Genomic DNA, 25904 nt, shown 5'->3' with positions numbered 1-25904 from the left:
TCTACTCCTAAAAGCAAGTTACCACTCTATTCTTCCACGAAACTTTCTGATTATCATCTGGTTTTCAAAATATATCTGAATACAGCAAGAAAATGCACTGCTCAGTAAACTCAATCTGCATAATATAAACTACTGTAAATTAGAATTTTCATCAAACTGAAACTAAAACACAATCAATGAAAAACAATTCCAAAAACAAACAAACAAAAAAAACAACAACACTTCAAAGCTGAAACAATCTTCCTTTATTTTTCTAAATTGCTTCAAAGGCTTCTCTTCCCACAATCTTCTTCACCAAATTTTATATTACACTTCTTTATCCTCTAGATTAAGTCTCCAAATTTTAAATTCCAAACCCCATCAGTAAAAAACCTGAACAAAAACAATTATATGTAGTTATTTATATATTAAATGATATACTATTGAATTACGTAGTTATGAAATCACAATAGAAATTTTAAAAAGAGATGAAAATGAAATGAACATTATTTTTAAACAGTTTTTTTTTTTAACATATTTGACAAACAAAAGCCTTTGAGCAATGACTTTTAAAATATTATGGCCGGGCGCAGTGGCTCACACTTGTAATCCCAGCACTTTGAGAGGCCGAGGTGGGTGGATCACTTGAAGTCAGGAGTTCGAGACCAGCCTGGTCAACATGGTGAAACCCTGTCTCCACTAAAAATACAAAAATTGGCCAGGCGTGGTGGCACGCACCTGTGGTCCCAGCTACTCAGGAGGCTGAGGCAGGAGAATTGCTTGAACCCAGGAGGCGGAGGTTGCAGTGAGCCAAGATCATGCCACTGCACTCCAGTCTGGGCAATAGAGTGAGACTCTGTCTCAAAAAATATGTATATATTATTAAGAATATTTTTAGTGAGGGCAATAATCAAATATGCTTTATTATTTATAAACTCCTAGTTGAACACTTAATGGTAAAGTAATCTGAAGGTATTGGTTCTAAACTATGATATCTAGTTTCTAGTTGTTGCCATAGCTAGGGAAACAAAAGACACCACATAAAGATATAAAGACACCATCAATGCAAAAAATTTACTGTTGCTATATTTTCTAATTCATTTTTCAACCCACCTGCCAATATGCAAAGGTTTATGTTAAAATTTGGCCAATAAATTTATTTGATGCCAATTTGTTATTTTTGTAAACTAAACTAAATCAGAAAATATTACAACTTTTTATTTTTAAAAAATAAGTTCAGGCCAGGTGCACTGGCTCACGCCTGTAATCCCAGCACTTTGGGAGGCCGAGGTGGGCGGATCACGAGTTCAGGAGATCGAGACCATCCTGGCTAACACGGTGAAACCCCGTCTGTACTAAAAATACAAAAAAAAATTAGCCAGGCGTGGTGGCGGATGCCTGTAGTCCCAGCTATTTGGGAGGCTGAGGCAGGGAATGGCATGAACCCAGTAGGTAGAGCTTGCAGTGAGCCGAGATCGTGCCACTGCAATCCAGCCTGGGTGACAGAGCGAGACTCTGTCTCAAAAAAAAGTTCAAACCCCACTGAAACTAATTGTGATGATTAATTTTATGTGTCATCTGGGCTGTGCCACTGTGCCCAAATGTTTACTTGGTCGAACATTATTCTGGATGTTTCTGTGAAGGTGTTTTTTAGATGAAATTAACATTTAGGCCAGGTACAGTGGCTCATGCCTATAATCCCAGCACTTGGGAAGGCCCAGATGGGAGACTCATTCGAGGCCAGGAGTTCGAGATCAGCCTGGGCAACACAGCAAGACCCTGTCTCTACAAAACATAAAAAAGGCTAGATGGCTCACATCTGTAAGCCTAGCACTTTGGGAGGCCGAGGCAAGAGAATCTCTTGAGCTCAGGAGTTCAAGACCAGCCTTAGCAACATGTTAAGACCCAATCTCTAACAAAAAAAATTTAAAAATTAGCCAGGCATGTTAGCACATGCTTGTAGTTCCAGCTACCTGGGAGACTGAAGTGGAAGAATTGTTTGAGCCCAGAAGGTCATGACTGCAGTGAGCCGTGATCACTGCACTTCAGCCAGGGTAAGAGAGCAAGACCCTATCTCAAAAATAAATATTAATAATAAATAAATAAATAAAATTAGCCAGGTGAAAGGCGGAGGTGGGAGGATCCCTTGAGTCCAGGAATTCAAGTTACAGTGAGCTGTGACTGTGTCACTGCACTCCAGCCTGGGTGACAGTGAGATCCTGTCCACAGGAAAGGAAGGAAAAAGAGGAGAAGGAAGGGGGAGGTGGGGAGGGGGAGAGGGTAAGAGGGAAGGAAAAAATTAATATTTAAATAGGTGTGTTTTAAGTAAAGCAGATTATGCTCCAAAAGGGGTGGGTGGGCCTCATCTAATCAGTTGAAGGCTTTCATTGAACAGACTGGCCTTCCCCCAGCAAGAAAGAATTCTGCCAGAATACTGACTTTGGTCTGAAACTACAACTGTTCCCTGGGCCTATCCTGCAGATCCCAAGCTTCCACAATCACGAGTCAATTTCTTAAAAGAAATTTTTCTCTATACATGTATATATCCTGTTGATTACCTGTCTCTAAAACACTGACTTTACAACAAGTAAAAGATTTCTGTTTCTAAGAATTTTAAGTGTACAGACAAAATAATATTTGCACATGACACAGATCATTTTCAGCAACAAAATTATATAATGAATACATTTCCAAACATTCATCATCAAAATGCTTTCTATATAGCTCAAATTTCTTTGGAAAAGCAGATATTCAGTCACCATTAAAATTTCTCTTTTATCTTGAAGGGACAGATTAAATTTTCTCAAAAATACCTGGTAGGTAAGCATACTAGTTAAAGAAAAATGTCAACAAATTTGAAACAGCCAGAAGATAAATAGCCAACCTGTATTAAACAAAGATTTTTCAATTGTCTCTCCCTGTTTCATTTGGAAACACTGTAAATAGCCTTAAAGGTATTGTTTTTATAAAACTAACCATAATAAAAATATAACTTAATATTCTGTGGACTTCCTGCTTTAGTTTTCTTTGCATACCTACAAATGAAGTGAATAAATTCCAACCTTATTCCAATTTCCTTTTTAAAATTCCAGCCAACACACTACTTTATCAGTGGTTAATACATTTACTGTTAAGAATAAATCTTTCTCAACACATCTTTCCTTTAGTGGGTCACAAAAAGGCAGTTTTAAATATAACTACTTTATTGAAACATTATTCATTATTGAAACAATCTAGACATAAGCTGAGAAATGTTGGAAACTTCTGTACTTTAATGAAACTGTACAACAAACTTTCCATGTGAAATCTCTCCTAAAAAATATTTCTATTTTTCCATGTGGCCTAAGAGTATTTGCTGAGATAATTTATTTTATTGCCATATTTTACACATATCACTATTTTCACCATAAAAGGAAGAGTTAGTGCTAATGATTGATACCGTTTGGCTGTGTCCCCACCCAAATCTCACCTCAAATTGTAATAATCCCCACATGTCATGGGATGGACTTCACGGGAGGTAACTGAATCATGGGGGCAGGTTTTTCCCTTGCTGTTTTCATGAGAGTGAATAAGTCTCATGAGATCTGATGGTTTTATAAAGGGGAGTTCCCCTGCAAATGCCAATGCTCTCTTGCCTGCTCCCATGTAAGACGTGACTTTGCTCCTCATTTGTCTTCCGCCATGATTGTGAGGCCTCCTCAGCCATGTGGAACTAACTGTGAGTCAATTAAACCTCTTTCCTTTATAAATTATCCAGTCTTGGATGTCTTTATTAGCAGTATGCGAACAGACTAATACAGCTACATAATAAGAAATATATACATTTGGTCTCCACCCCTGATTCTAAAACCCTTATTCCCTGAGTCACAGGGGTAAGAGGAGCATCTTTTGTTATTCATAATAACCCCCTTTCAATCATACCTAAATTTATGCTAATGCAGTGACTTTGAAGGACAAGGGCTGGCTGGAGAGGAACCAACCATGTGATCTGAGGGTTGAAACTTTCAGTTCTCCCCACCCCCAAACCTCCTGGGAAGAGAGAAGGGATGGAGACTGAATTTAATCAACAATAATTAATGATTTAATCAATCATACCTATGTAATGGAGCCCCCATAAAAACCCTAAACCATGGATTTGGAAACCTTCTGGGTAGGTGAACACATCCACTTGCAGTGCATCTCAACTCCACAGGAACAGAAGATCATGCACCCTGGGTCTTTCCAAATCTTACCCTAGGTACCTCTTCATCTAGCTGTTCATCTGTGTCCTTTATAATATCCTTTGTAATAAACCAGTAATAGTAAATGAAGTGTTTCCCTGAGTTCTGTAAGTCATTACAGCAAATTATCAAACTGGAGGAGGGGGTCACAGGAACCCCTGATTTGTAGCCAAGTCAGTCAAGTACCAGAAGTCCAGGACCTGCAATTGATGCTTGAAGTCCAGGCGGTATTATGGAACTGAACCCTTGAACGGTAGGATCTGTACCAACTCCAGACAGATAGTGACAAAATTGAACTGTAAGACATCTAGTTAGTGTCCAGGGAGTTGAAAAACTGGTTGTTCAAGTGGAAAAAACTCATGTGTTTGGTGTCAGAAGGAACACTTTTTCCTTTTAGCAAGAATATTTCTAATAGTGTACGTCTTTCACCACTAAGTTCAAAATTTCAAGAGACTTTCCAGTAACCCATATTCATATCATAGCAGCATTATGGAAGCAACCCACTTGTCCATCAACAAATAAGTGAATAAATAAAATGTGGTATATAAATACAATTAATATTATTCAGCCTTAAAAAGGAAGGAAATTCTGGCACATGCTACAAAACATGGATAAATATCTAAGACATCATGCTAAGTAAAATAAGACAGAAAAGGACAAATACTGTATGATTCCACCTACACGAGGTACTTACAATAGTCAAAACCAGAGAGAAGGAAGTAGAATGGTAGTTGACAGGGAACAGGGGTAGGAAGGAATGGGGAGTTATTTAATGAGTGTAGAGTTGCAAGATGAAGATCATTCTGGAGATTTATGGTGGTGATGGTTGTACAACAGTATCAACGCACTTAATGCCACTAAACTGTACATTTAAAAATGGTTAAGATGGTATATTTTACATTATGTATTTTACACAGTAAAAAAATCTTCACCCCTCCACCAAAAATAAATTTCCTGTGGTTCACCTATGCATTCACCATCATAGCTCACTGCAGCATCGAAATCCTGGGCTTAAGCCGTCCTCCAGCCTCAGTCTCCCAAGTAACTAGGACTACAGAGATGCCCCATGGCTCACTGCAGACTCGACCTCCTGAGCTTAAATGATCCTTCCAGCTCAGCTTCTCAAGTAGCTGGGACTATAGGCGCATATCACCAAGCCCAGCTAATTTTTGTATTTTTAGTAGAGACACGGTTTTGCCATGTTGCCCAGGCTAGTCTCAAACCCCTGAGTTCAAGCGATCCTCCTGCCTTGGCCTCCCAAAGTGCCATTTCAAATAACCTTCTCAATAATTTCTTAGAGGGGGAAGGTCACCTCTAATCCATATGATTATATAGACATTATATCTTTCTTTGTTAATAAACATTGTTTACGTTTTATTCTCAAACACATTAAGAAGCATCAACCTGGCCATTTCTTATCGTTTGCCTATATTCACATTAAAATATTATATTTAATCCACAGTTTCTTTTTTATATTTTATTTTTTAGGTTTTTAAGAGATGGGATCTGGCTCTTTCACCCAGGAATGTAGTGGCACCATCATAGCTCACTGCAGCGTCGAACTCCTGGGCTTAAGCTAATTTTTAAAAATATTTTGTAAAGACGGGGTCTTGCTTTGTTGCTCCGTCTGGTCTCAAACTCCCAGTCTCAAGCAATTCTCCCACTTGGGCCTCCCAAAGCACCAGGACTATAGGCGTGAGCCACCACACCCAGCCCAATCCATGGTTTCTTTATAGGAAACTTTCTAAGTCCAAGACAAGACACCAGTATCAACTCACATTTTAAATACTAGTAAAGTATCCCATTTCTTATTTTTTAGATAACATATAAACAGAAGTTCTAAGCTCTTTTCTCCTTATGTCAGTGGATCATCTTGTGTGCTCTTCTTTGAAGACCCATGCATTTAAATAATGCATTATCCTTTATCTAATTTTTATCAAGTCCTTCCTACCTACCCTACTAATATGGTTTTACTGGCTTTTCTCTTCTTGTTGTTATCTCCTCCACCACTGGTTCCCATAAAGAATTCATTTTCTATTTATCACTTTTCAAGCTCTTTCAGGATTCTCAAAGAAAAATTACTTCATCTAAAAAATAGATATCTAAGACCTGTATCAGATTGTTTTTAAAAACTAAATGTCATTCTTATTTTCTCCAGTACTCAAAATCATGCGTGCTGTGATTCCACTGGATAGAACCTTAGACTATATCTATGTATTAGCTCTCTCCAAAAGGTATTTTGAGAGTTGGTCACCATAACAAATGTCTAAAAGCTCAGCTAATCAGAATATTGAGAAAGTTAATCAAATTTCATTTTTCAGTTACTGATAAGTTACAAATTATAAAAATTATTTAGATACCATTTTTTAAAGTTTTAAATTTATTTTATAACTGACAAAAACTGGATATATGGATACAATGTTTAATTGTTAATGTTGATTTAAAACTCAAAATAGAACTGTACAAGTAGAAAACATAACAGAAGCCTATAATTGTGTTAAGTATATTTAAGGTTGTACTATACTTTTAAAATAAATAAAAGCCAACTTCAAAAAATAGCAATCAGCTTTAAAAGGCACCATAAAGGTAAAATATAATACAAGTTTAGCTACAAGTGAAACAAATTCTCTTCTTTTTAACAACTGTGACCTGGCAGTAGCTCATGCCTATCATTCCAGCACTTTAGGAGGCCCAGGTGGGAGGATAACAAACGAAAATTTTTTTATACTAGGTTATGGTGGCACATGCCTGTAGTCCTAGCTACCGGGGAGGCTGAGATGGGAGGACAGCTTGAGCCTAGAAGTTCAAAGTTACAGAGAGCTGTGATCATGCCACAGTGCTCCAGCCTGGGTGACAGAGCAAGACCCTGTCTCTTTGGGGTGGGAAAAAAAAAAAGTCATTCAGCCTTTCTTTAGTGGTCACACTATTAGTGATCAAACAATTCCAGAAACATGAGAGAAGAAGGCTGGAAAGCAAGGAATGGTTTTAATCACCACAATATAAAGTAGAAAGTTTTTAAATTAAAATATAAGAATCAGCCAGGCATGGTGGCTCACGCCTGTAATCCTAACACTTGGGAGGCCAAGGTGGGAGGATTGCTTGAGTCCAGGAGTTCATGACCAGCCTGGGTAACACAGCAAGACCATCTCTAAAAAAAATAATTTTTTAAAAAAAGTAGCCAGGCATCATGGCCCATGCCTGTAATCCCAGCTACTCTGGAGGCTGAGGTGGGAGGATTGCTTGAGCCTGGGAGGTTGAGGCTGCAGTGAGCCATGATCGCACACTGCACTCCAGCCTGGGTGACAGTACAAAACCCAATCTCTTAAAAATAATTAAGTAAATAATAAAATGTAAGAATCAAAGTCATGAAGTCTTAGATTATCAAAAGTAACATCTTCCAACCTCTTTAGTTTCAAAGCCTGAGATCATACATCCTCCTGGCTCCACATCAGCAAATACTTTGGGACTATGGAAAAGGTCAAGGGAAAAGATCATGACAAACTAAAGGAGTGAAGGTGAGCAGTATTCTGAAATCATCTGTAAGTTAGAAATAAAGAAGAATATTAAGTCATCAAAGAGGCATCACTTCCCTATTCTCTCTACCTTTAGCACTGTTCTTATTCCTATGGATTTATTCCAGATAGAACCTGGAATAAATTACTAGTTAGTAATTTCAGCTAGTTGGACTTACTCAGAGTTCAACTTCCTCATTTCCTTGTCTTAAATATCCTCTCACTTCCTTTTCCAACACATTCATTCTTACCATAGCTTGTGTGAAATGAATCTCTGTATCAGTGGTGAGCTCTAATTTAAATCTTATCATCTTATATGTAAACTCAAGAAAGCTCATTTTCTGTTTCCTTTGGGCATTCTTTTTTAATTTTGTAAAATATTTAAAGTTATTTTACTGTATTTACTTGGAAACACAAGGAAAATATTCTAAATTAAAGCTGGCATCAGCACCAACATAAATGTCCACATTATGTAGTATAACTCGAATTATATGTTGCTACAAGGTTCTACCGTATAGTAATGTGAGGCAATAAATATTATGTTTACTCAGTCTTCTTGCTTTTATCTGTATGTCTTTAATGTAATTTAATTTAAAAAAAACTATTTTATGTATCACTTTAGAAGTCACTATTTAATATTCAATCCTTGTTTTCCCAATTACTTTGATACAGCCTTGCATCCAAATGAAGTACCAATAAAGTACTTTTTGGTAAAAAACCAAGTGTCATCATCATTTTAAAAATACTTTCTTCACTAAAAAGCAGAATAATGACTTTGCTGTCCTAGTTTGGACTTGCTCTATGGCTCTGACTTTCTGCCAAAGTTCCTCCAGCACTTCTGAATACCAAACTACCACCAAAAATGTTTTTAAAGATCTAACACAACTGACTTTTCTCCCTCTTTAACTCTTATGGACTGCAGAAACTTTTTGTTTCAGTCTCATAGAGCTAAAACACCAACTTCCATTCAGGATCAACCATGTCTATCCTCAAAGAAAATTGAGAAATATTGTAGAATTTTTAAAAAATCAATTTAGTTATTTTTGGTTTCTCATGGTGTTGTTTTTTTAAAGATAGGGGAAAACTCGCATATTTGGGAAACTCCTCCAAGTCTTTTCATTTAATTTTTTCTTAAATTTAAATTAAGGTTGTAGTGACTTCAAAATCTACCCAAACGATCTTTCCAATACCCTACTGCAATTTTTTTTTTAACTTCTCTGTGATTTTCACTTCCACTCCACCTTAGTAAGTCATTCCCATGGTCATCTCCATTGTCAATAGCAATAACTGCCTTATGAAGTAGGAAGAATGTCAATCTTGTTTCTCCCACTCCACTTCCCTGCAATAAATTTCAAGAATATCTTTCTCAGACAGCTACCCTGTCAAGTCACTCCCTGAAATACCCCAAGTCCAACAATTTTTTGGCCCCACAGAGACCACAACCCATTGTTCCCAACACATCATTATTATTATCCTTCACCCACTCCTGTCGTCATATCCACCTTTATACAGCTTGGATTCCCTAAGCCGTCATTATAATCACTCCTTCCAAATATACTCACTGTCCTTGCCCCTCTCTAGCTTTGCCAAATTTCAACCCTGATTTATGGTTAGATTTTTACTAACCCTTCCTCATGCTGCTGAAGAAAGTTGGAAAAAAGAAAAGAAAGAACCAGGTTGGCTAGTTGTGCTTTGAAATTCATGTCTATTACCTAAGGGACTTTAATACTACTTAGCTCAAAACCATTCACTACTTCATTATCCTAGCCAACTATCTCATACCTTATTCTTTTCCTTTAAATTTACACCATCTCCTAACCATCTCACTCTTAGCTAATAACCTTGCCTCCTACTTCACTAAAAGAGAAACAGTCAGAAGGTAACTCCTTGTTCACCAACTCTATTTTTTACCACAATACCTGCATGTTTTTATTAGGCATTCCTGGTTATTACTTCGGATAAACTGTCCATAACCCTAATACTTCTGCTTACCTGGAGAACTAGTGCAGTTACAAGTTCAGTTGTTAAAATGGTTAAAACCCTGGGCCTACATATGTTTGATGTATTCCAGGAAGAGCAAAAAGCTGAATAAGCAAGCCACAGCTGAGCGAGCAAGAGGGGAGAGTAGTAGATATTGGAGTGTGTGAGCGCCAGAATGCCAGTTTATATGCCCCATCTTCCACCATAAGGACCTTGGCTTTAACCCTGAGTTGGAAATACATTGGAGGGTATAACCTCCAATAAACCTGGCATGACCCAATGCAAGTTTTTAAATAGATCACTGGAGTTTCCATGTTGATTAAAAACTAGCTCAAGGTCCACAGACCCACCAACCCTGAACACATCTGATCTTGACTGATCTTGGAAGCTAAGCAGGGTCAGGCCTGGTTAGTATTTGGATGGGAGACTGCTTGGGTATACTGGGTGCTACAGGCTTTTTCTTTTTAAAAAAGACAAACAAAACAAAAATTACACGCACACACAATACACACATACACACACACACCCCGAACTCAGAGCAAGAGAGACCTTTTAAGGAGGCTACTGCAATAATCCAGACCAGAGATGAGCTAGTTTGGTCCAGAGTAAAAGCAGCAGGGTAGTGAAAAGTGGTTAAGATTTTGGATATATTCCGAAGGTAATGTTAACAAAATTTTCTAATATTTTGAGCATGGGTTGTAAAAGAAAAACAAACATCAATTTTGAGCCCCATGAACTAGAAGGATGAAACTGCTTTTAACTAAAATAAGAGATCAAGTTTGGGCAATGGGAAGAAAAAAGTTTTGGCTTTAGACAGTTAAATTTGAGATGTCCTTAAGACATCCAGGTTGACATGTTGAGTAGGCAACTAAATACATATGTCTGGAATTAATAGTAGTGGTCCTGCTGAAGATACACGATAAAAAAATTACCCTGGACATGATTGCAATTATGCCTTGTTGCACACCAATATTCAGAGGTCAAGGAATTGATGAAGAACCAGCAAAGGACACTGAGGAGTGACCAGTGAGGTACAAGTAAAACTAGAAAAGTGTGGCATAATTTATAAGAAGACAAATGAAGATCACTACAGTGATGAAAATCTTAGTCCTGAATTCAGGGCGTTTATGGCTAGTTAGGTTGACCTGTTAACAAGATCTTCCAAGGTCTTCTAAGGAGCCTCATTCCCTTATATGATTTTCTCTTTTTCTGAATTTCCACCAGGCCTGGAGTCAAAAATCTCTGTCATGTGGTTGGTTAGTGAAAACTTATTTGTTCTGCTTTCCTCTATCGAATGCAGTGACAAATTAAGTATGATGAAAAATGAGATGCCAAACATGTACTACAGCCTAACTTTGTAACATTTCAGACTGTAAGAGTTGAAATTTACTTGACAAACTATACACTCAGTTTGAACACTTTGACTTACACTGATTATCCAAATCAGGCTTTCTTGGATGAAAAGAAAGTGATAGGGGAGTAAAGAATGGGCAAAATCAAATCCCAGGTACCCACTGTTACAGACATGAAACAAAACAAGCAAAATTAAAAGCCAACATTTGGGGGGAAGAAAAAAGAAGCCAAATGAATAATGTATTATTTCAAGGAGGAGAAAGTGTTCCACTTTGTCAGGTGCTATTAAAAGTAGTAAAAAGACTGAAAACTGACCACTTTAGCAACATGCAGATCATTGACTGTCTTAAGAGCAGTTCTGTTGAAATAATGAGGGTAAGAGCCTGACTGAAATGGGTTCCAAAAGATTAGATAGAAGTTGAAGACAGTAAGCATGGACATCACTTTTAAGGAATTTTGCTTGAAAGGAGAGAAAGGATATGAAAAATAGCTAAAGAGAAGAGTGGGGTCAAGTGAGGGTGGTTTTTAAGATAAAAGAAATAATATGATTTTCTTGCTAATGGAAATGATCTGAAAGAAAAGAAAACACTTAAGTGTAGAAGCAGTGTTCATTGCTGGAGCAATGAGCACTGAGCCTTTGCTAAGAGCATGAGCAGTTCAATTACAGTAACAGGAGAGAAGGCAAAGTAAGTGGGCATAGGTCTAAACAGCTTGGTAGATGTGGTAGTAGGAGCACGTGGAAATTCTCCTACGATTGCTTCTGTTTATTTTCAGTAAAACAGAAGGCAAGGTCAATAGTTGAGATTTACTTATTCAGAAAGTCTTTGAATTAAGAATTATTATTATCAGTTACCTGCTCTGAGATTCACATTCCTCAACTGTCAAATGAGAACACCTATGCTGCCTACCTTACAGGGTTGTTGTGAGGGTCAAATGAGAATGTATGTGAAAGACTGGTAAATGGTAAAGCACTTTAAAAAAAAAAAAAGTATTCTGCTACAGAGCCATATTTTACCCATTATTTTCTTCATCTTCTTGAAAATTATGGAATTATAGAAGAGTGACATTTTTACATCTGAAACTCTAATAACTAGCTGGGCACATCTCAACATGCAAGTGATTCTGATTTTTTTTAATTCCAAAATAACTGTATTACACCAAAATAGTGGTACATCCGTGCAATAAAGGTATATGAGACCAAACATCAATGCTGTAATAACTACACATGAACAGTAGGCTAACATTTTCCATGTTCACTTAGAGCTTTTAGTATACTAAAAACTCTAAGTACAGAATCCATTTGTAATTCTTTGCATCTGCCATCTAACACAGTGTCATTTACTAGCACTTGATCTCTGAGCTTCCTGTTCCACATCTGTAAAACTGGAGTAATTACACAATTCTAAAGTGAAAAGATTAAATGAAATATAAATAATGTGGCCAGACACGTTGGCTCACGCCTGTAATCCCAGCACTTCAGGAGGCTGAGGCAGGCAGATCACAAGGTCAGGAGTTCGAGACCAGCCTGGCCAACATGGTGAAACCCCATCTCTACTAAAAATACAAAAATAATCAGCCAGGCGTGGTGGCAGGCACCTGTAATCCCAGCTACTCGGGAGGCTAAGGCAGGAGAATCGTTTGAACCCGGGAGGCGGAGGTTGCAGTGAGCTGAGACCACACCACTGCACTCCAGCCTGGGCAACAGAGAGAGACTCCACTTCAAAAAAAGAAACGAAATATAAATAATGCATTTAACATAGTACTTGGCACTGGTAGCTATTACTATTCATTTAATGCAACAAAAAAATGAGTGCTGAGCTTGGCACTAGGGATGTGAGTAAAAATATACTTAGTGGAAAGGAGAGTTATCAAATAATCACTTGTCTTTAATTTCACTAGCTAGGACCTCCAGAATGTTATATACAGTAATGACTGTTAACAATTTTTAGTGGTCAGCTTTGTATGACTGAACTTCATACAATACATAGGTTTTATGTCTTCTAGCAAACTCAATATATAAATGTATTTATTAAAAAATTAAATTACAGGATAATTGTTCTCTATAGGGGTCTTTAAAATAGTATATGTTCTTAGGACAATTAAAATGATTTGATTAATCCAAAATAAATTTACAAACTATCAGAGCATATCTGTTGTGTGAAGTAAGCTCTATCTGTGTAGTATATGAGCCATCTTCCCATCTTCCCACACAGCTATCTTATTTCACAGTTCTTTGTAATGTGGGAGATCCTACTACCTTTCTTTCCTTTTTTTTTTTTTTTTTAGAGATAGGGTCTCATTCTGTTGCTCAGGTTGGAGTGCAATGGCACAATCACAGCTCACTGCAGCCTTGACCTCCTGGGCTCAAGCAATCCTCCTGCCTCAGCCTTCCAAATAGCTGGGACTACAGGTATGTGCCACTATGCCCAGCTAATTAATTTTATTTGTAGAGACAGTGTCTTGCTATGTTGGCTAGGCTGGTCTCGAACACCTGGCTTCAAGGGATCCTCCCACCTTGGCCTCCCAAAGTGCTTGATTACAGGTGTGAGCCATTCCTCCCAGGAGCTGTCTTTCACTTCTGTTTGACATTAGCCTCTCTATTGTTCAGCACTGCTCTGCCTCCCAACATCTCAAACTTGAGCCCAGGGTCATTCAGTAGTTAGGGTTAACACCATAACTAGAGTTTAAGATTAACTATTTTAAATCTAGTTTTCTTTATGTTATACTGTTTAGCCTTTGCTCAGATTCTCAAGTCATTTGCTTCCATAGTTATCCCTGCTACCTACCAACCTAGACTACTTCCTGCCAGGAGTTCCTCTACCCTCACACCAATTAGCAACACAGTTTGGTCCCCCTGTGCTGACATTTTATCCTGACATCAGAGAACATAATTAGCGAACAGGGGATTCAAGAACAGAACTAGTCTTTGTGTATAGGCACTCATATTTTTAACATGAAAATTCTCTAGAACAGGGCTAAGCATCCCTTTGCACCATCTCTCTCTGATTTCTTGGCTTCTCATTGGGCTCACTTTCCATTTTACTCTAGTCTGTTTTCCCCTTTTCCCTTTCTGAGACTCAATCTACTTGGTGACTGCAATGTTTAAGTATGAAATCTAATCATAGGCCTTTACAGCTAGAAGAGACTTCAAAGATCAGTCTCTATTTACAGATGAGGAAACTGAAGCCTCAAGATGAAACTATTTGCCCAGCCAGGCGTGGTGGCTCACGCCTGTAATCCCAGCACTTTGGGAGGCCAAGGCGGGAGGATCACAAGGTCAGGAGTTTGAGACCAGCCTGCCCAACATAGTGAAACCCCATCTCTACTAAAAATACAAAAATTAGCCGGGCATGGTGGCGCACGCCTGTAGTCCCAGCTACTCAGGAGGCTGAGGCAGGAGAATTGCTTGAACCCAGGAGGCAGAAGTTGTGGTGAGCCAAGATCACATCACTGCACTCTGGCCTGGGCAACAGAGAGAGACTCCATCTCAATAAACTATTTGCACAAAGTAACAGAGTTAAGAAACAGCTAAATCAATGATGCAGATGTCTTGACTTAATTAGCTTTGTTCCCTTGTGTTGATGCTTTAAATCAGTTCACTTAAGTAAATTCTCTAAGACTATTTATTATTTGGAAAGCAAATAGGCTTTCTGGCTCTAATCTAATCTGAAGGAATACTTAGTTCTTGGTATATTCATGGGAATAACTCCAAAGAGTGACCTCATACTATTCTTAGCATATAATTATGGTTAAATATTGAGATAATTTAGTTTTATCTATATATGGTCTATTATATTTTGGAAGAAGCAACACTGATCTAGACAGAACTCTTATGGTTCATTTTTATCCATAATATTGAAAAATCTTAATATTTAGGATTAAGAAATTATGATTAATGTAGTCAATTTCATATAATAGATAGATGCATAATAATTTAATCAGAAGTCTCCATGATCCAAAACAGCAATACTCTGAACATATATATGAATAATTTAGGCTGTGGTTTATTCTTTCATGACTTACTGTGACTGTAATACTGGTGGGAGGCACTGAGTAAAACGGAAATGATTAAGTAAATGAATTCTCCTGCACATCAACATAAACTAGGCACCATTAGTGGCACATTAAATTTTGTCCTTTTCATATTGACTCTATATAATTCTTTATTCAACATCGAAAACTTGCCTGTGACCCGGTAGGGTGGTTGCTACTAGCTTTCCTTTCTTTTTTTTTTTTTTTTTTTTTCGAGACAGGGTCTCACTCTGTTGCCTAGGCCAGAGTGCAGTGGCACCATCACAGCTCACCACAGCATCACCACCTTTCTGGGCTGAAGTGGTCCTCTCACCTGAGTAGCTGGGACTACAGGAGTGTGATACCATGCTTGGCTACTTTTTGTTTTTTGTTTTTTTTGTTTTTTTTAGACGGAGTCTTGCTCTGTCGTCCAGGCTGGACTGCAGTGGCACGATCTCGGCTCACTGCAAGCTCCGCCTCCTGGGTTCAAGCCATTCTCCTGCCTCAGCCTCCTGAGTAGCTGGGACTACAGGCGCCCGCGACCACGCCTGGCTAATTTTTGTATTTTTAGTAGAGACGGGGTTTCACCGTGTTAGTCAGGATGGTCTCGATCTCCTGACCTCATGATCCACCCACCTCGGCCTCCCAAAGTGCTGGGATTACAGGCGTGAGCCACTAAGTTTTTGTATTTTTTGTAGAGAGAGGGGTTTCACCATGTTGCCCAGGCTAGTCTTGAACTCCTGGGCTCAAGCAATCTGCCTGCCTCAGCCTCTCAAAGTGGTAGGATTACAGGTGTGAGCCACTGTGTCTGGCCTGCTACTAGCTTTCATTTCAATAAATCATTACCATGCACAGTATTGTAAATGAATACATAATTTCAGACTTTTAAAAATAACTTCATTTCAAGAACGATTCTTATTTTTACTCCTAAAAGAGCACTAGAGCGAACCTTATACTGCACATGAAGTACTTACAAGCATATTTATAAAAAAATTTAAAGAAAAACTATTAAAATTCTTAACTTGACCTTTAACATTTACATAAAATGGCTCTAAATGGAAAAAGAATGATTTCTTTTTGCTAATGTGAAATAAATCATATGTTTACAGTAATAATTAACAGATATACTAGGAGAAAAGTACACACATAGACGAAGTTTAGCAGCTAAGAAGAAATGAAAATAAGGCAAACAAAAAAATTTTTTGGGTTGTGCTTGTGTTTATTTGGTAGATTTATTTATTTTTTACTTATTTATTTATTTTTGAGACAGGGTCTCACTGTGTTGCCCAGGCTGGAGTGCAGTGATGTGATCACGGCTCACTGCAGCCTCCACCTCCTGGCCTCAGTGATCCTCCTCCCACCTCAGCCCCCCGAGTAGCTGGGACTACAGGTACACGCTACTACAACTGGCTATTTTTTGCATTTTTAGTGGAGATGGGGTTTCGCCATGTTGCCCAGTCTGGTCTCAAACTCCTGGGCTCAAGTGATCCTCTGGCCTCAGCCTCCCAAAGTGCTGGGATTACAGGTGTGAGCCACTGTGCCCAGCCTTTGGCAGATTTTTATTCAAATGCAACAGACTGAAATTTTACCTAAATACAGACCAACACTTTCCTTTTTTTCCCAATTTTTAAAAAATTTCTCATCTACTTTCAAAAAGGATTGATAAGAATGACCAACAATTACGTAGAAATGGACAGTTTATTCAGAGGTGGCAAGGAACTATAACAATGTGTCAAAAAGGTATTATAATTAGGACAGCAGTCTGTTACTCTCTTGTATTCCAAGCTCAGAAGTAAAATTTATTTTGAACCTCAGTTTCTCTTGAATTTTACCGTATGTTCATTTCAGTACAGGAGTAAATTAGTAAGAGGCTTGTAAGTGTGACTTGATAAACTAGTTAAGATGTTTGATTATTATTATTTTATCCCATAATTAATGGGCCAGTCTCCTTAATTTTCCCTGTTAAGCATCCTTAAACATGTCAGACATCAATATTGTTTTCCTTTCTTATGGTGTTAATACTAAGTAGTTACAACTCTTCATTTAGTAGCTATATATTTGATTACTGACAGGCTGATAGTGATAATAAAGATTGGGTATGAAGTGTGCTTTCACTAAAATATTGAAGGAATAGTATGCAACAAATGGCTGCCTCACACTTTTAGCCTTAGGGAAAAAAAAGGAGCACACATGGACCTCTGGGGCCTATCTAACTGCTTATATAGAAATTAAGAAGTTTGTTCTACACATAGAAACACTGAGATTATGTGTTGTAAAGGGACCTCTACATCAAAAGGGGGGAAGTTTCAACTGCTGATTGGTTATGTGCTTCTTCCGCTGGAGCATTTGTCAGGAAAATGTCTATGGTAACACAAGTAAGATTAATCACATCATACATTGGAGGAAGCGATTGGGATTATGATTTTTTTTTTCATAATTCTACCCGAACCATTATTTGCTCTTGCACAAATTGGAAGATGTGAGATACAATCTGGCAACTTTATAATACAGAAACCTGTGGAAGAGATTTTAATAAATTGATTCCTTAAGAATTAAGAGACTCAGCCAGGCACAGTGGCTCACGCCTGTAATCCCAGCACTTTGGGAGGCCGAGGCAGGCGGATCACGAGGTCAGGAGATTGAAACCATCCTGGCTAACACGGTGAAACCCCGTCTCTACTAAAAATACAAAAAATTAGCCGGGCGTGGTGGCAGGCACCTCTAGGCAGGAGAATGGCATGAACCCAGGAGGTGGAGCTTGCAGTGAGCCAAGATTGTGCCACTGCACTCCAGCCTGGGCGACAGAGTCCCTCTCAAAAAAAATTAAAAAAAAAAAAATTAAGAGACTCTAAGAGACCCAACTTACAGGACCCCTAGAGTCATCAGCAAGAAAGTAGGAAGACACTTGAAGGGAAGCACACTCCAATGCATCAATGTCTAGAGAAAATTTCCATGCATTTCTCATTTAATCTTCACCCACAACAACCCTATGAAGTTGGTGGTTTTATAGATAGAGGAATGGGTTCTCAAAAGATTAAGTCATTTGTGAAAGTTAAAATTTTTGGAGAGTCTTTCCACTCGCTATGGCAAGAAAAAGACAACAGCATTGTTGATGTGTCCAAGGTATTCAGACTTAGGTTGGTATGCGGATGGAACAAGTGGCCACTAGAGGTTTACTCATTTCTCTTTGTTAAATTGTTCTCTTCACTAAATTGTTCTGAGGTTCAGTAAAATCATAAAATGAAGAACTGCATGCTTTGTGGGGAAAGGGATTGTTGTGGGAAGTCAGGGACCCCTAACAGAGGGACCAGCTGAAGCCGCGGCAGAGGAACATAAATTGTGAAGATTTCATGAACATTTATCACTTCCCTAATAATACTCTCATAATTTCTTATGCCTGTCTTTACTTCAATCTCTGAACATAAATTGTGAAGATTTCCTGGACAGTTATCAGTTCCCAAATAATACTCTTATAATTTCTTATGCCTGTCTTACTTTAATCTCTTAAACCTGTTATCTTCGTAAGCTGAGGATGTACGTCACCTCAGGACCACTATTGTACAAACTGATTGTAAAACGTGTGTTTGAACAATATGAAATCAGTGCACCTTGAAAAAGAACAGAATAACAGCGATTTTCAGGGAACAAGGGAAGACAACCATAAGGTCTGACTGCCTGCGGGGTTGGGCAGAATAGAGCCATATTTTTCTTCTTGCAGAGAACCTATAAATCAATGTGCAAGTAGGAGAGATATCGCTAAATTCTTTTCCTAGCAAGGAATATAACACTAAGACCCTAGGAAGGAAAAGAATTGCATTCCTGGGGGGAGGTCTATAAACGGCTGCTCTGGGAGTGCCTGTCTTAGAGCCTTTCTTAGTGGTTGAGATAAGGACTGAAATACGCCCTGGTCTCCTGCAGTACCCTCAGGCTCACTAGAGTGGGGAAAAACCCCACCCTGGTGAATTTGAGGTCAGACCAGTTCTCTGCTCTGGAACGCTGTTTTCTGTTGTTTAAGATATTTATCAAGATAATACGTGCACAGCTGAACACACACCCTCATCAGTAATTCTAATTTTGCCCTTTGCCTTGTTATCTTTGCTTTTGTCCTTGCCCTGTTTCCTCAGAAGCATGTGATCTTTGTTCTCTTTTTGCCCTTTGAAGCATGTGATCTTTGTGACTTACTCCCTGTTCGTACACCCCCTCCCCTTTTGAAGTCCTTAATAAAAACCTGCTGGTTTTGGGGATCAGGTAGGCATCATGGACCTACCGATATGTGATGTCACCCCCAGCGGCCCAGCTGTAAAATTCCTCTCTTTGTACTCTTTCTATTTCTCAGACCGGCCGACAGGGAAAATAGAAAGAACCTACGTTGAAATATTGGGGTGGGTTCCCCCAATAAGGGATAAGATTTAGAAGAGTTACAAATTTTGATGTACAAATTTTGCTTTAAGTTTAAATGGCTGCCTTTTAGAAAGCAAACCTCAGGATGTGTCAAATCATTAAGTATCTTCCTTGTCAATGTGACTGTGTGAATTAAAGAAGACCTGAGTCCGAATTAAACTTACCAAACATTTACCTCTTTATTTCTACATCTATCCATCTATCTATACCATGAGTTTACACCAATATCTCCAATTCCAATCTAACACCAACACCTTTCAATATTTGTAATTTCCTTCTCCAACAGTCAAAAAACCTGGCTCCCTTTATCCTTAATATATTAACTCACTTAAAACAATCTCCAGCAGGTAGTAATCAGTCTCTCATTGCCACCATGGCTACATACAGGTACCCTCTTTACTGTACTCAAGGCTTCATACCTTATTAGACTGCCACTGCTGCCCCCTACTCTAACACTCTCCATCAAGCTGATGCCACTGTGCTGCTGTCTGCATGGACTGCCCCCCTCTCCACCTGGGTTCTACTATCCTGAGGCTGGCTGCCCTCCTGCACAGGATGCCCTCATCATTCCACTTAGGCTCCAACACACTGCAATGGGTTATAGCTGCCACTCTTTCTACTCTCCCAAATGGTCATCCTCCTTATCCCATTCATGCTCTGATACCCTACACTGAGTCTGCCATCCTCTCACATGGAGGCTGTCCTCTCTCTCTCTCTGCTTAGGCTCTGACTTACCATTCCAGGCCACCTCCTACACTCCTCAAGACCCAGGTTCTGATACCCTGCTCTAGACCATCGCAGCTTCCAACACCAAAGACATCAACCATGCTGAGCCTCACTTCAATTGCTCAGAGGGTAAAAGAGAGAAGGGAAAGTTCCTCCTATTCACTTTAAATTCTGATTTACATTCTTGAACTATCAGTTCCCCATTTATCCCTAACTGGAAAGATTCTTAATTCACACAGTTTTCACAGTGTGAATTATTCACAGTTTGCTTATTCTACAACCAAAGTGAATCTGTGTGTGTTCCAGACATTTTAAAAAATAAAGTTTATTTCTAACACAGAATTAGTCTGTGTCTATCGATGGTACTCACAATTATAGAAAGTAAGAGGACTGTTAAAGAAACAGAAAAGGCAGAATTAAAAACAATTATTGTATCTTATTACATCTTTTAGCTTTCTGGAATAAAAATGTTTTAACCACAAAATGCACTAATGCAGGGTATGGTTATAGTAGGACATCTGAAATAGAAATATGGATTTTTCAAATTAGACTCAAGTATTTATTCTGCTTATCTGCCTTTACTGTTCAGGAAGGTTATGATTTTCAATTTTAGAGTGAATAATCTCTTCCTTTTAATTCATTTATATTTATCTTTAGAGCATTCTTCATTTTCTGAGAAGCAGTAATAGCTTTGTACTACAATTCATTTTTGTGCTGAAGAGTATTTAAAGGTCTAATGAGAAATAGAAGAGCTTTACAGCATCAAGTGCACCCGAAAGTTTGCAGAATGAACATATACAAGCTACTATTTTATAGATTAACACATTTTTCTACCATCTATTTAAGACAAAAACCTTAGTTGGTGGTAACACAAATCTAAATAGGTTTACATTCACCTCGTTTTTATTCCAACAGATAATTCAGCAGTTGTTGCTTATAAACACTGTACAGTAAGACAGCACACTGCCATATTATACATGTGTCTCAGCTCATTCATTCGTTTTTCATTTATTCACACAGGATACACTCACTTTGTAATAATTAGCCATCTACTACCCTGTATCTCTATTGCCATCATTCTACTCCAAGCTACAATTACCATTTGTTTAATACTGCAATAGCCTCTTGACTGATCTCTCAGTGTGCTTTCTAATTATCCTCTAATCTATTTTTCACATTGTAGTTAAAGTGATCTTTTCAAAATGCAAGTGAGCATGTCAGGCAATATGGTACAAATATTACGGGCACTGATTCTGTATCTAGGCTGCCTGTGTTCAAATATAGACTCTGCCATTTATTAGCTGTGTCACCTTGGGCAAGCCATTTAACTTCTCTGCCTTGTTTCATCATTAGTAAAATGGAGAGATGTCAATTTATGTATCTTAAATGACTGGAAGGATTAAACGAACTAATATGGTAAGTGTCCTGTGAATGGTGGTCACCTTATCAACTTCAGTAACACATCTTTCTCTGTGTCTGTTTTGCTCTGGCTACAATGGATTTTTTTTGTTTGTTTCATTTTTCATTGAGAAAGACACCCTCCTGTTTAAGAGTATTTGCACATGCTACATCTTTTTTCTGAACTCCCCCCCTCTGCCCACTCACACACACCTATTATCTCCTAACCATTTTTCAGATCTCTGTTACAATCTTTTCCACAGGACACCCTTGCTGAACTTAGTGGTGGGTTATGTTTTTATGCTGATATCATCTTACAGAATTTTACTTACTTACCCCTCTATGCAACTATCTGATTAATAGCTCTCTTTCCACCATACCAAAAACATAAGGATATTTTTGTTCACATAATATCCCTATCCTTAGGTTAACATTCAATTATTTGTTGAATTAAATGAATAATAATAACTGCCACCAGTGCCAAGCACTGTGTTGAGTGCTTTTATATATTATCTCATTTAATCTCTCCTTGAGAGTAGGCGTAATTACTCCTATTATTATACAAACATGGAAAGTAAGGCTCAGGGTTTACCAGCTAGTAAATGACACTGGACTAGATGGAAGATACAAAGAATTAAAAGCAGATTCTACACTTAAGAGTTTACAGTCTACTAAGAGCTGAATAAATACTTTAATTGAACATAGAATCAGTTACATATCATTTGTACATTACTATCGCAATGTTGGTGTTCAGTCCAATATTTCACATGATGTTTTAATGCACTAACATACCAATGAAATTAAACAAGAGAAAGAAATTGGAGGTATAAACATTGCAAAAGGAAAATATAAACATATTGCTACTTGCAGACCTTGTACCTGCAAAATCTCAAAAACTCAAGAAAACTGGCCAAAAAACTATTAAAAAAACAAAATTGAGTCGGGTAACAAAACACAGAATATGTAGAAATCAGCCATTTTCATATATAAAACTACCAGTAAGAATTTCTGATTTCACAATTATATTTCACAACTCTGTAAAGTTAGTAACAGGCAACCTTACTTTATGTTTCCTTTTAGTAAACAGAATAATTCAAATACTTAAAGCTGTTAATAATGATTATTTTGTTATTATTTTACAACTACTCTCATGCATAATTTCTTATGAATAGCAGTTTTTATCCTTTACAAGTTATGTTAATTGATTTTTATGTTTACAGCTTATTTATCTAACATTTACACTTATGCAAAATATTTCATGAAATGTGATGATTGGCTCAGAGTATCTCTTTATTACATGCATGTGATGTGTACTGAGTGGTGGAGATAAGGAGTTTGGTTTTTGTTTTGGGAGTTTTTTTGAGACAGGGTCTCACTCAGTCACCTAGGCTGGAGTGCAGTGGCACAACCACAGCTCACTGCAGCCTCGACCTCCCAGGCTCAAGTGATCCTCCCACCTCAGCCTCCCAAATAGCTGGGACCACAGGCACGCACCACCCTGCCTAATTTTTTTGTATTTTTTTAGACGAAGGTGTCTCTCTACGTTGCTTCTGGCCTCAAGTGATCCTCCCACCTTGGCCTCCCAAAGTGCTGAAATTATAGGCATGAGCCACTGCACCTGGCCTAAATGTATTTTAAATAATAAAATTTTTTATTATATATTTTCAGAATATGTAAAGCTTGAATCTTTAGTTTCTAAAAGTTAGGAGTATATTTTACTTCTTTCATTGCAAACTGCAGCTCTATATATTTTGCATGTCTCATAGTTTTTTAGTTGTATGTGTATCATCATTCTAGACATCAAGAAAAACTCAAAAAAGAAGAAGTCACTTCAGATTCTGTTCACTTAAAAAAAAAATACAAAATGACCTTGGCTCTAGTTCTCTACTGGAAATGAACAAGCTTTAGAATTCAGTTATCATGACACAGTGCTACTGTTATCACTTTTATTTCTCCAGTTTCCTTGATATATATATCTCCTACTAAGGAATTGGAGGTTCATAACAAGACATCAAAGAAAAGAAGCTAGGTGTGAGAATGAGAACTACAGTGAAAAGAGGCAGAAGAAGTTAGGATGTAGTTATTTAGTAAGGTAACTTAAAAACAAAAAAACAAGAATGGCTTATAGGCTCTGGCCATCATCTCTCTAGCTTCATCTCACATCATTCTTTCCCTGAACCTCTAAGCCCCAGCATTATGGCCTCTCTCTAACTCTAAGAAATGATTGACAAAATAACCTGGGTAGGATTTTTAAAATATATACTCTCCAGACCTAGTAAATCAGAATCTCTGTAGAAGGGGCCTGTTTTGTTTCAAAAGAACCAGGATGTGTGAAGAACATTCCACAGAGAAGCCTTCTCAGGCTAGGCACGTCTATTCTAAGTTTCCACAGCTCTCATCACACTTGTAGTAATTTGCTCAATACTTATCTTCCCTGCTTATCTTATCTCAATACTTATCTTCGGAGTAAGGGCCCTGTCTGTGCTCTCTTTCCTCCTCCAGAATCACTCTCTTTCTTTCATCAACACTTCTCTGGGCCCCAACAGACTATTATCAATGGTTTCCCTTGCCCTCTAACTTATCCTTTGGTTCAGTCGATTGGAGGCATCCTGAAGTAGGATGGAAGTGAAGTCAAAGTTTTTGTTTTTGTTTTTTTTGAGACGGAGTCTCACTTTGTCACCCAGGCTGGAGTGCAGTGGCGTGATCTCAGCTCACTGCAACCTCCGCCTTCCGGTTCAAGCAATTCTCCTGTCTCCACCTCCTGAGTAGCTAGAATTACAGGCATGCACCACCACACCCGCTAATTTTTGTATTTTTAGTAGAGATGGCGTTTCACGATGTTGGCCAGGTTGGTCTTGAACTCCTGACCTCAGGTGATCCACCAGCCTCGGCCTCCCAAAGTACTAGGATTAGAAATCCAAGTTTTTATTCCTCCACCACTCTGCTGTAAATTTCCTATATTCCCCTACTAAAGGCCATAGATCCCGTCACGCAGCCCTTTCTGCCTACAGCTACTGCTTAGGGGGCTAGTAACCAATGCCTCTCCTTGCCCTTAAGGCCTAACTACTAGCAGCTCCCAACTGTTACTAGCTCTAGGGTAATGCACCATCCACCACTGCTGGCTCCACAGACCAGGCCCACACCTTTATAAAAAGTTTATTTAAAACTCCTCAGTTAAGCCTTTTGAGTACTGTTTCCTACCAGGACCACAGACTAATACAAATGTCTGTTCAAATACACGTTAAGCTCAAGTTAAGACATCCTATCCAGTGTAGCAATTTCTACAAGGCAGTTGGGGATGTATACCCAGAACTAGGCACAGTGCTTTCTATAAAGTATTTTATAAATGCTTGTTGAAGATGGAAACGACCCCCACTAGAGGATTAATAAATCTCTAGGTAAATTACATCCATTAGAGGCATATAAAAAAAGTTTTGGAGTCACACAAATCTAGATCAGAGTTTAGCTTTACATGACAAAAGTTAACCTTAAGTTTCACCTTCTGTAAAATGGGAATACCACTACTTATCTCGCAGAGCCGGCATGAAAGTAAAATAAAAAATAAAAGAACATCTAGCAAAGTGCTTGGCACACAGATAATGTTCCAAATTATAAGATCCTTTCTTGCCCAAATTCAAAAATCTTTCAGAAAGATTTTTGACCAGAATAAAATAAAATGGTTCAAAATCACTTGTTAATTACTTTACACTTCCATCTAAAGCAACATAAAGATAACAGAGCAAGATACAATAATTATAAAAGAGATGAAAAAAAGAAATAGACAAATCTAAGATGATACTAAGAATAAAATTTGTAAACAAAATGCAGACAAAAAATCCTATACATTTGCTAACAGTGAACCAGAAATCTGACTTTAAGTTTTCTAGCAGCAAGTGCAAAATGAGAAACATAAACAGTCATACAAAACGCAGTTTCTATACTATAAAAAAGCTAAAGAGTAATTTCTTCCATGAGTCCCACAGAGAATAGCACGATAATGCAATCAGCAATATTCTTAACAGCTTTATGGTAAACTAACAAACTGTTAGGATTTTTTTTTTTTTTTTTTTTTTTTTTTTTTTTTTTTTGAGATGGAGTCTTGCTCTGTCGCCCAGGCTGGAGTGCAGTGGCGCAATCTCGGCTCACTGCAAGCTCCGCCTCCCGGGTTCACACTATTCTCCTGCCTCAGCCTCCCGAGTAGCTGGAACTACAGGCGCCCGCCAACACGCCTGGCTAATTTTTTGTATTTTTAGTACAGACGGGGTTTCACTGTGTTAGCCAGGATGGTCTCAATCTCCTGACCTCGTGATCCACCCACCTCAGC

At 38.2% G+C, this 25904-nt stretch overlaps 1 protein-coding gene and 1 pseudogene across 3 annotated transcripts in view, besides 1 other annotated feature; one reads left to right on the top strand and one right to left on the bottom strand.

Annotated features, from left to right (window-relative positions):
- The window catches only part of FNBP1L (formin binding protein 1 like), a 106544-nt gene that overhangs the window by 56182 nt on the left and 24458 nt on the right, over nt 1-25904 (bottom strand). The window lies entirely within an intron of this gene.
- Nucleotides 10028-10147, top strand: RNA5SP53 (RNA, 5S ribosomal pseudogene 53; annotated as a pseudogene).
- Nucleotides 18791-18991: a silencer, noted in NCBI's record as "peak323 fragment used in MPRA reporter construct". NCBI's record gives its function as "represses an SCP1 promoter by STARR-seq MPRAs in K562 erythroleukemia cells {active_cell/tissue: K562}" and the evidence as "EXISTENCE:reporter gene assay evidence [ECO:0000049][PMID:32103011]".

Source organism: Homo sapiens, chromosome 1 (genome assembly GCF_000001405.40).
Source record: "Homo sapiens chromosome 1, GRCh38.p14 Primary Assembly".
In the NCBI taxonomy this organism is placed as follows: Eukaryota; Metazoa; Chordata; class Mammalia; order Primates; family Hominidae; genus Homo; species Homo sapiens.
This window is presented reverse-complemented; position numbering and strand designations above follow the sequence as displayed.